General features: G+C 37.6%; 1 protein-coding gene across 14 annotated transcripts in view, besides 2 other annotated features; it reads left to right on the top strand.

The window, feature by feature from the left end:
- TRIQK (triple QxxK/R motif containing) overlaps positions 1 to 11,661 on the top strand; it is a 134,132-nt gene that overhangs the window by 45,808 nt on the left and 76,663 nt on the right. For 8 of the 14 annotated variants that reach the window (NM_001438083.1, NM_001171799.2, NM_001171798.2 and 5 more), the window contains exon 1: positions 5,714 to 5,851. The exons of 1 other annotated variant lie outside the window; for it this stretch is intronic. The gene's annotated coding sequence lies outside the window, so the exon portion shown is untranslated. Of the gene's footprint in view, positions 1 to 5,713; positions 6,051 to 6,268; positions 6,354 to 11,138; positions 11,358 to 11,661 lie in introns of those variants that run through there. 5 more of the 14 variants (XM_024447136.2, XM_047421712.1, XM_017013349.2 and 2 more) reach the window with 3 other exon arrangements.
- Positions 5,618 to 5,727: a silencer, noted in NCBI's record as "silent region_19356". NCBI's record gives its function as "represses an Ori minimal core promoter by ATAC-STARR-seq in GM12878 lymphoblastoid cells {active_cell/tissue: GM12878}" and the evidence as "EXISTENCE:reporter gene assay evidence [ECO:0000049][PMID:35858748]".
- Positions 6,398 to 6,507: an enhancer, noted in NCBI's record as "active region_27616". NCBI's record gives its function as "activates an Ori minimal core promoter by ATAC-STARR-seq in GM12878 lymphoblastoid cells {active_cell/tissue: GM12878}" and the evidence as "EXISTENCE:reporter gene assay evidence [ECO:0000049][PMID:35858748]".

The following is an 11,661-nucleotide window of genomic DNA, read 5'->3' as shown; positions in this document are numbered from 1 at the left end:
TTTTTATTTAGGATTGTCTTGGCTATATGAGCTCTTTTTTGGTTCCATATAAACTTTACAGTAGTTTTCTCTAATTCTGTGAAGACTGTCGATGGTAGTTTAATAGGAATAGCATTGAGTTTGTAAATTACTTTGGGCAATATGGCCATTTTCAGGATATTGATATTTCCTATTCATGAGCATGGAGAATGTTTTTCCATTTGTTTGTGTCCTCTCTGATTTCCTTGAGCAGTGGTTTGTAGTTCTCCTTGAAGAGGTCCTTCACATCCCTTGTTAGCTGTATATCTAGGTATTTTATTCTCTTCGTAGCAATTGTGAATGGAAGTTCATTCATGATTTAGCTTTCTGCTTGTCTATTGTTGGTGTATAAAATTGCTTGTGATTTTTGCACATTGATGTTGTATCCTGAGACTTTTCTGATGTTGTTTAGCAGCTTAAGAAGCTTTTGGGCTGAGACAATGGGGTTTTCTAGCTACAGGATCATGTCATCTGCAAACAGAGACAGTTTGACTTCTCTCTTCCTATTTGAATACCCTTTATTTTTTTCTTTTGCCTGATTGCCCAGGCCATATCTTCCAATACCATGCTGAACAGGAGTGGTGAGAGAGGGCATCCTTGTCTTGTTCCCTTGTGTGTGTAACTTTAAACTATACTACAAGGCTACAGTAACCAAAGAAGCACGGTGTTGGTACAAAAACAGACACATAGACCAATGGAACAGATAGAGAACTCAGAAATAAGACCACACATCTACAACCATCTGATTTTTGACAAACAGGAAAAAAACAAGCAATGGGGAAAGGATTCCCTATTTAATAAACAGCGCTGGAAAAACTGACTAGCCATATGTAGAAAACTGAAACTAGACCCCGACCTTATACCTTATACAAAAAATAATTCAAGATGCATTAAAGACTTAAATGTAAAACCCAAAACTATAAAAACCCTAGAAGAAAATCTAGGCAGTACCATTCAGGACATAGACATGGGCAAAGATTTCATGACAAAAGATCAAAAGCAATTGCAACAAAAGCAAAAATTGAAAAATGAGACCTAATTAAACTAAAGAGCTTCTGCATAGCAAAAGAAACTATCATGAGTGAAAAGATAACCTACAGAATGGGAGACAATTTTTGCAGTCTATCCATCTGACAAAGGTCTAATATCTACAATCTACAGGGAACTTAAACAGATTTACAAGAGAAAAACAACCCCATTAAAAAGTGGGCAAAAGACACGAACAGGGACATCTCAAAAGAAGACATCTATGTGGCCAAGAAACATATGAAAAAAAGTTCAACATCACTGATCATTAGAGAAATGCAAACAAAACCTATAATGAGATACCATTTCACACCAGTCAGAATGGCAATTATTAAAAAGTCAAGAAACAACAGATGCTGGTGAGACTGTGGAGAAATAGGAACACTTTTACACTGTTGGTGGAAATGTAAATTAGTTCAACCATTGTGGAAGACAGTGTGGCAATTCCTTAAAGACCTAGAAGCAGAACTGCAGAACCACCATTCCACTCAGCAATCCCATTGCTTGGTATATACCCAAAGGAATACAAATCATTCTATTATAAAGATACATGCATGCGCATGTTCATTGCAGCACTATGCACCATAGCAAAGACATAGAATCAACCCAAATGCCCATCAATGATAGACTGGATAAAGAAAATGTGGTACATATACACCATGGAATACTATGCAGCCATAAAAAGGAATGAGATCATGTCCTTTGCAGGAACGTGAATGGAGCCAGAAGCCATTACCCTCGGCAAACTAATGTAAGAACAGAAAACCAAACACTGAATATTCTCACTTATAAGTGGGAGCTGAACAATGAGAACACATGGACACAGGGAGGGGAACAACATACACAGGGACCTGCTAGGGGAGGATTTGGAGAGGGAGAGCATCAGGATAAATAACTAATGCATGCTGGGCTTAATATCTAAGGGATGGGTTGATAGGTGCAGCAAACCAGCATGGCACAAGTTTACCTGTGTAACAAACCCACATATTCTGCAAATGTATCCTGGAACCTAAAATTTAAAAAAAATTAATTTTTTTTAAAAAAAGAAAATATAAACAAATGCACAAGCATAGTTGGAGATTTAACACCTTTCTTTCAATAAGTGATAGAATATGCTTAAAAATGTTGGTAAGGATCACTATGGCATATGTATACCTAAGTAACAAATCTGCACATTCTGCACATGTATCCTAGAACTTAAAGTAAAATGAAAAAATAAAATAAATAAATAAAATGTTTTTAAAAGCAAAAAAAAAAAACTGTCATAAGATATAGACTATAATCAACATTTAGAGCATACTGCATTCCATAATTTCAGAATACACATTTTTTTTCCAAATACACTGAGAACAGTCATAAAGATAAACCATATGTTGGGTTATAATATATGTGTCAATAATTTTCAATAAAATTTGAAATATTACAATATATATTTTCTAACTACAATGGAATTAAAAGTCAATAACTGTAAGATATTAGACAACTCTCAAATACTTGGAAACACAGAAACATAATTCTAAATATGTAACCAAAAAAGAGCCCATATAGCCAAGAAAATCCTAAGCAAAAAGAACAAAGAGGGGCATCATGTTACCTGACTTCAATCTATACTACAGTAACCAAAACAGCATGGTACTGGTACCAAAACAGATATATAGACCAGTGGAACAGAACTGAGGCCTCACAAATAACACCACACACCTACAACCATCTGATCTTTGACAAACCTGACAAAAACAAGCAATGGGGAAAGGATTCCCTATTTAATAAATGGTGTTGGGAAAACTGGCTAGCTATATGCAGGAAACTGAAACTGGACCCCTTCCTTATACCTTATATAAATATTAACTCAAGATGAATGAAAGACTTAAACGTAAGACCTAAAACCATAAAATCCCTAGAAGAAAACCTAGGCAATATCATTCGGGACATAAGCATGGGCAGAGACTTATAACTAAAATTCCAAAAGCAGTTGCAACAAAAGCCAAAATTGACAAATGGGATCTAATTAAACTGAAGAGCTTCTGTATAGCTGAAGAAATTATCATTAGAGTAAACAGGCAACCTACAGAATGGGAGAAACCTTTTGCAATCTATCCATCTGACAAAGGGCTAATATCCAGAATCTACAAGGAACTTAAACAAATTTACAAGAAAAAAACAAACAACCGCATCAAAAAGTGGGTGAAGGATATGAACAGACACTTTTCAAAAGAATACATTTATGCGTCCAATAAGCATATAAAAAAAGCTCATTATCACTGGTCATTACAGAAATGCAAATCAAAACCACAATGAGATACCATCTCATGCTAGTTAGAATGGTGATCATTAAAAAGGCAGGAAACAACAGATGCTGGAGAGGATGTGGAGAAATAGGAATGCTTTTACACTGTTGGTGGGAGTGTCAATTAGTTCAACCATTGTAGAAGACAGTGTGGTGATTCCTCAAGGATCTAGAACCAGAAACGCCATTTGACCCAGGAATTCCATTACTGGGTATATGCCCAAAGGATTATAAATCATGCTACTATAAAGACACATGCCAACGTATGTTTATTGCAGCACTATTCACAATAGCAAAGACTTGGAACCAACCCAAATGCCCATCAATAATAGACTGGATAAAGAAAATGTGGCACATATACACCATAGAATACTATGCAGCCAATTATATTTCAATTTGCTAGAAATGTAAGTCAATAATATATGTCTTTATATGGTAAAGAAATAAGCATATAACATACATCTGGAAGTTTTAATTTTACATTAAGCTATTTACTTCTTGTTGTATAATATCTTACATATGTGAGAATATTCAATGCATTTGCTGTACAAATGCATTGCTGTACATCTTTATGTAATGAAAATGGACTCAAGTACATTCACCACTTTTATTTAAATCTTACAGCATTTATTTATATATTTATTAATATATAATCATAACTCTTTCTTTTTAGTCTAAAACTAATTTTTTTTTTTTTTTTTTTTTGAGATGGAGTCCCACTCAGTTGCCCAGGCTGGAGTGCAATGATGCAATCTCGGCTCACTGCAACCTCTGCCTCCCGGGCTCAAGCAATTCTCCTGCCTCAGGCTCCTGAGTAGCTGGGATTACAGGTGCCTGCCACCATGCCTGCCTAATTTTTGTATTTTTAGTAGAGACGGGGTTTCACCATGTTGGCCAGGCTGGTCTGGAACTCCTGACCTCAGGCAATCCGTCCACCTCAGCTTCCCAAAGTGCTGGGATTACAGGCATGAACCACCACACCTGGCCAAACCAAATATTTTTAAAAGATTAAAGAAAATGGGGACTCTGAGTCATACAAATCAAGAAAGTTTTATAGAGAGTTATTCACATTTAGCAAGCTTTCAGAAGAATTTGGATATTCAGCAGGTCAAGAGTGTAAAATTATTTGTAATTGGAATGGGTTTCTTTTATTCCAACAATTGCATCACAGTACGATGAACATTTTAATTGAATCTCAAGGCACTTGTCCAGAGGTACTCTTTTTTTTTTTCTTTTTTCTTACTACAACCGTATCTATCAGACAAGATAAACCCTTCTGGGTTTTGGTTTAATATGGAAGGAAAAAGAGTTTCACTATTTTAAAGCCACACACATAAGTAATCTGGTTAAGTGTATTAATATAATCTCATTTAACTCTACCTTTATTTCTGGGAGAGGAACTGGAGACCAGAAAATGATTTAGGAGGACGGAAAATAAAATTACATTTTGGATTCAATTCCTGGCCATAATATTCTGTGAGATTTCAGAAAGCCTTCTGGTTAGTCTATTTATACTTGTCTCAGTTTTTTTTTTTTTTTTTTTTTTGTATGCTACTTTCTTTCTCAAGGGCTTTTGGAAAAAGATATGATGGGGCTGGCCTAGAGGAAGGTGACTTTTATGTGAGCAAGAGAAAAATTAAATTGGAGGTTGCATAATTTTTTGAAGGAATTTTAGATTTAGTTCACCACAATATTAAAAAATGATGGCTGCAGGCACTTAGATTTGTTGAATGGTTGAATAAATCTAGCCTTTCCTAGCCTGTGTTTCATTGTCCATAGGCTGTGGATAATACTCTTAGTGGGTTTTGTAAGGATTACATGAGTATAATTTATAAAGCATTTAATATTTGAATACTTTTCCAATAAGTAACATCTTAATATTTCATTCCCATTTTGTAGATGTGAAAATTGAGTACCCGAACATAGGCTCCTAAATCCTAATTGTCAGTCACGTTTTTGCAATCTTTCCTAAATTTATTAATCTCTGGTTAATGTTAATATAAAACGATTTTTTTTTCTTTTTTGCTGTTTGAATGGGCAATTAATTGATTGTTTACACAGACAGTGCGCCCTTCCACTTAGGGACGCTCCTTAGGGATGATCCTGTGAATTGGGGAGTGTGTGTGTGTGAGATGGGAGGGTTCAATAATCAAAATAACATATTTTTCCGTTTTATATTAACTAAACAAGTCACAGTCTTTATTTTTAATTTCTACAGTCACCTCGTGAGACAGGTATTAGAACTCCGGAGTGGCATCAAAATGAGGGAAAGGCCTCAGGGCCAGCGCCTTTGCGTCCTGGACCGGCGTACAGACGGGAGAAAGGCCGACCAATCCGAGAGCAGGCTGAGGCCTGGTCCCGCCCCTGGGGGCAGAGCCTCGCCTCTTTTCCGCCTCACCCTTTGGGAGTAGGGGTGTGCGGCTGGCTTGTCCCGCCCCTGCCCCTGAGTGACAGAACCGTGGACAGCAACATTTCCCACAGGACACGAAGTTTGTCGGCCCTTGCCTTGGCAGAGCTGAGGTGTGTGTCCGGCGAGTGCGAGGGGATTGGGGAGACCCTGCCCGGGAAGCTCGGGGTCCGGGAATGAAAGCGGGCGCACCTCTTTAGCGAGCCCTAAAGCGTTTGGGAGACGATCGTTCCGTCCCTGGGAGCGGCACTTGGTGGGGCTGGGCGGAGGGAGGCTCTGCAAGAGAAACCCGGAGTCCGGGAAACCCAGTAGGTACGGTGATCACTGAAGGACCCGTTCCCGTTGAGTAGGGCGCTGGCTGCGGGATGGGGGATGGAGGGTGCTGGGTTCGGTGGGCGTGGCCATTGCGGTTGCTAAGGAACGCGCGGTTCCCGCCCTGCCAGCGTGTCTGGCGCCAGCCGCTGGGCCCTGGACACGTTAGTCCCGCCCACCTCCCAAGGTCTTCCACGCGGCTCGGGATTGGCTCCTTTGTGCTGACCGATTACTCGCGGTCGCTTACTTGTCAGTGCAGCTCTCTGGGTTCTGCCGTTCCCTTTTGGGGCCCCCTTTCCCATGGTACTCCTCTTCACTCTTTTTCCTGCTTCCTCTTATTAATGAACGAGTATTTGCATACCAAAACATTTGCAGAGAAGAGATTCAGACAGGATTAGGTGGCTTTATCGGTGGTGGTGAGGTTGTGGGGCGGGGGTATTTTTCTTGGAGCTTGGTGTATTCCTGAATCCATCAGATGTTGGTGTCCGCGTGGATGACTAGGAAAAGGGGATTGGAGATTAGGTTTCTTCTACTTGGAGTTCTCTGCTGCTTGTTTGAGCTTAATAAGCCTCCTGAAGAAGTTGAAGCAATTTATTGCTAGAGGAGCCCCAATGTATAATCTCCCTTTCATTCTCTACTGTGGAGAGGTGTGCTAAACCTGTAGAGCTGTTTTTGCTTCACTCGGCTCATACTTAATGATCAACAAGTATGGTGTGAGATGGTAACCTCAGATAACCATTTTAAATCTGCCTTTGTTTGCTCATATACTCTGTCTCCTAATGATTCAGCACAACAAACATTCCAGAGAGAAAAAACAAAAGAGGTAAAAATCTTTTATTTTCCTCTGGCAGGTTTACAGTGCAAACCCCCAGGAAGGAAGCTTGTGCTGCTTGTTAACATTGGGAGGAGCATTGGCCTACAAGTCAGGAAACTGGCATGGTTAAGAAATGTTTGTCCTTGGGCAATAATTGTTTCGTTATCTGTAAATTGGAGACTCTAGGATATGCCCTTCCTTCCTAAAAAAGGAGGAATAATTGGTTGTGAAAGTATCATTAAAGTAATGATCCACACAAATGTAAAGCATTATTGATTACACTTTTAATCTTTTTGTGTATATGATCCAAATTTATAAACACGTATAAGTATTGCCATTCAGCTTTAAGTATTTTCAAATTTCCCTTGTGATTTTTTTTTTTTTTAATCTTAGGGTTATTTAGAAATGGGGAAGAAATTAACTCATCTATTCATTATTGATTCTGTGTTGGTTCTGGTTAGGTAGAACCTGTAATGTCTTGAATGACACCTTTTCCTCTTTAATATCACTAGATATATATATATATATAGATATATATATATACCTGAAAAGATTGGGAAACATTACCTTTTAATGCGAGGATGACTAACCTTTTTGGTGTCATTTACCACTTTGAGAAACCAAGGAAAGCTATTGACTTGCTCCTCAGAAAAATGCACAATTTTAAGCCTAAATGGACCCTGTTTTTGTTCAACTTCTTTAGGGATAAGGAAATTATTCTCTCCCACTTGCCTCATCCTACAGAGAGACTAAGTAACTTTTACCCAAGGCTACATAGCTGGGAGCAGAGTGGGGCTTTTGCCTTTCTTCCACAGTGCCTCTTACCATAACATACCTTTGTTCAAGGCCTTCAGTCATCTGCAGTTCCCTTTTGGGGCCCCCTTTCCCATTGTACTTTTTTGTTTTTTTGAGCACTAACAAACGGGAACTACTAATGTTCAGTTATTTGTTGCTATCTTACAAAACCATGTAATCTATGTTTTATCCCAAATGCCCTTTGATCATAACCTCTTAAAGCATATTCTGGTATTTAAACAAGTAAAAAGAACATTGTCAAATATTTTGAGAAAAATGTGAAACTGTATTTTTTTTTTTTTTTTGAGACGGAGTTTCACTCTTGTTGCCCAGGCTGGAGTGCAATGGCGCTATCTCAGCTCACCACAACCTCTGCCTTCCTGGTTCAAGCAATTCTCCTGCCTCAGCCTCCCGAGTAGCTGGGATTACAGGAGTGCACCACCACACCTGGCTAATTTTGTATTTTTAGTACAGACGGGGTTTCTTCATGTTGGTCAGGCTGGTCTCGAACTCCCAACCTCAGGTGATCCGCCCGCCTCGGCCTCCCAAAGTGTTGAGATTACAGGGGTGAGCCACCGCGTCTGGCCAAAATTGTACTTTTGAGATGAACATTAAATCCATAAACTTTCTCATCTATCGAGGTCCGTTTTGGACAAAGAAAAGCTGATTATTTTTAGTACATGCCACTGGAATATCATTACTTGATACTTAGAACTGTTTTTTTTTTTTTAAACTTAAGTGAATAATCTTTTATAACATTTTAATTTGTGGCTAAAAAGAATTGTGGTTGTTTTCACTGTGGCTCTTTTCCTGATTTCTATATTCATATAGAAATCTGTAAATAGAGTTCATTATTTTCTTTGGTCTGATTCCCTATCTAGCTTTATCAATAAAAGTGGATATCAGTAGTAGATATAAAAAGTTGTTATTGGATAAGGAAAAACTTGAAGAGGTAAAGAGCTATTGCTTTTGTAAAACGCATAAATGTATATATGCACCTGTTATTTCGTTAGTACTTGTAATTTTATTTGAACTGTTTGGTACTTGACTCTTTCTTTATTCAACTCTGTTCATTTCTGGTAGAGAAACAGGGATAAAGACAAATGGCTTAGAGAGAGCATTACAATGGATTTAGAGATTTTTAGGGGCTCAATAATAGCTCTTTCCTTCCTCTCTTGCGTTTGTAAACAGACATGTGGCGCCTGCCATATCAACTTCAACTTGCAATAACAAGTCGAGTGGGGATAGTGCTTTATGCAAAAATGAGACCAAAAATGAGTACTAGTACTTCCTATCCCCTTTTACTCCTACTCTCTTTCCCAGAACCTAGACTTTAGTTCAGCTGAGAGAAAAATTTCAGATTGCGGAACAGATACGCTTACTTACAATTACTGCTTTTCATGGTGTAGGGCAGAGGTCTAATAAAAGATGGAAAATCTCCAGTGCTTAGTGGTTTATAATGGGTTAGCTCTACCGGTGGAGTAATGTGAACCGGTCAGATACGTCTCTTTTTGGTAAGCTGTGAAGAAGAAGTGGGATCTGAGGCCAGGACTGTTAATCTAGTGCTCTGGTTTTCCATTTCCAGAATGGTTTTCCATTCTGGGTGACACCTCTGGGGTATTTGAAATATGCCAGGGTGTTTTAAAATTATTCTAATTTCTTTAAAGGAAGTACTACTGGCTTTTGGGATCCTGAAGTTCAGAGATGATAAATATTGTGTAATGTAGAGATCTATCAGCTCAATAAAGAATTTCTTTGTCTCACTCCAATGCCAAAGCATCTTTTGAGAGTCCCTGCTCCAGTGGACATTCTTCTATGTAGAAACGCGAAACTCAGCCAGCTTTCTCCTTAATCTTTGTGCATATGTATCTGTGTTTTTGATATCAGTAGATTTGACTCAAAGTGTTAATGTCTTAAACAATATTACTTAGAATTTTGTGGTTTTTTGGTATTCATCCAGAGTGACTAAAATAATACTAATGGAAAATAGTGATACATATTTGATCATATTTGATATTCTCAAATTTCCTATTAAACAGATAAGGATCATGTAGGCCTAGAGCTAATTTTTCATACCATTATATATATTTATACCTTTTTTATATGGTAGAAATGTTCAGCATCTTTGCAACAATAGAGTGAGATAGGTGTATGTTTCCATGAAAAATAAATGATTCCTACTTAATTCGTAATTTTGAAATGTTAAACAATAAAAAGGTAAATACTCCATATTCAGTGGTTTAACAGTTTTTTTGACTCAAAAGGCAAAGACAGTTCCATTAATGAAAGACTCTTGTCAGTCACATGACTTTTAAGCCACTGAAGTGGAGAATGACAACAGCATAAACTAGCTTAGTTCTTCTGTAGTAGTATTATTTAGTGACGTAGTTGCAAAAATAACAGACCAATTGTATTGAACAATTTAAAAGTTTGACAATGACAAAAGAAAGATAGGTTAATCCAAATAACATTTGTTTTACATACTTTGAATGTTAAAATATTCAAATATTGCAGGGTATGGAATAATGAACTATATGGATACCTGTGGCAAAGTCCTAATTGTGGATTATAGTTTATTACCTATAGCAGGTGGAAGGTGCACTGTATTGAAAGTTTTAGACTTAGCTCTGTAGGTAGAAATATCCTTTGTTGGGTATTAATAACTTTCCAGTCAAGTTAATTATCTATGTGGAAAAGGTTGAAGATTTTTCTTTTTTTTGAACAACATGCTTGAGCATTATAATACGTTGCCGTCATTCACAGTGACTCAGTATATAGTACTGAATCTCTCTGGGCAGAGGAGGTATATCAGATTTTTTTTTTCAGGATGGGAAGGTACAGTTTTAAAAAGAACCTCCCAGTTTCCGATTCTGCTTTGTCTGCATTCCTAGGGAGTTCATTTTCTGCCTCCCCTCAACACCGTCCCCTTTATCGATAAATGGAAAACACTGGCTTATGTAGAAATTATCTATACAGTTTTTTCAGTGCTAAAATATTCTGGATAAATTAACATTTGAAAATAAATCAAGTGAAACAAGACATCCTACAAAATCAAGGCAGAGGTTATCAGTAGAAAACTCAGAGGCATACCTATGAATCTCTAAAAATAATTTTAAGCTAAGGAAGGAAGAACATTTCGGGGAGTTATTTGCCGTCCAACACATTCAAGAATACATGGCTTCTATGGATAGGAGAACTTCATGTAAAAATAACAGACAGTGATGAAGTGTCAGAGAGAAGATAGTAAGAGAAAACAAAATGATGAGAAACTGAAAATATGAGAGCCGTATCAGTTTTGTTCCTCTTATAACACATTACCCCACATTTAGTGACTTAAAATAACACAAATTTAGTATCTGACAGTTCTGTGGTTCAGAAGTCTGATATAGGTCACTTTGGGCTGAAATCAAGGTCGGGACAGGGCTGCATTCCTTTCTGGAGGCTCTAGGAGAGATGGTTGGTTTCCTTGTCTTTTGTAGTTTCTGGAGGCTGCTCACATTCCTTGGCTTATGGCCTCCTTCTTCCAACGTCAAAGCCAGCAACATTGCAGCAATCTGACTTATTTTGTTGTCATGTCTCCTGACCACATCTGGAAGGGTTATCTACTTTTGAAGACACATCCAGATAATTCAGGACAATCTGTCCATTTTGAGGTTCTTCATTGAATCATGTCTGCAAAGTCCCTTCTGCAATCTAAGGTAACTTATTTGTAGGTTATGGGAATTAGGACTTGAACATTTTTGGATTGGGGGAACATTATTTTGCCTATCACAAAAGCATTAAAAATCTATATTTGAGGCAGTAACAAATAGAATTGATGTCGTTGTACAAAGTTTAGTCGGTGTAGAGAATAGATTTGAGAGGTTATTTTAGTTAAAAAATTGGAAATCATAAAAAGATGATATATGGAGAATAAAGAATAGAGTCCACTGTGTGGATATTTGGAGTCTCTGAAAAAGAGACAAGAAGATAGATACATAGATAGATAGATAGATAGACAAA

This window comes from Homo sapiens, chromosome 8 (assembly GCF_000001405.40).
Source record: "Homo sapiens chromosome 8, GRCh38.p14 Primary Assembly".
Classification (NCBI taxonomy): Eukaryota; Metazoa; Chordata; class Mammalia; order Primates; family Hominidae; genus Homo; species Homo sapiens.
This window is presented reverse-complemented; position numbering and strand designations above follow the sequence as displayed.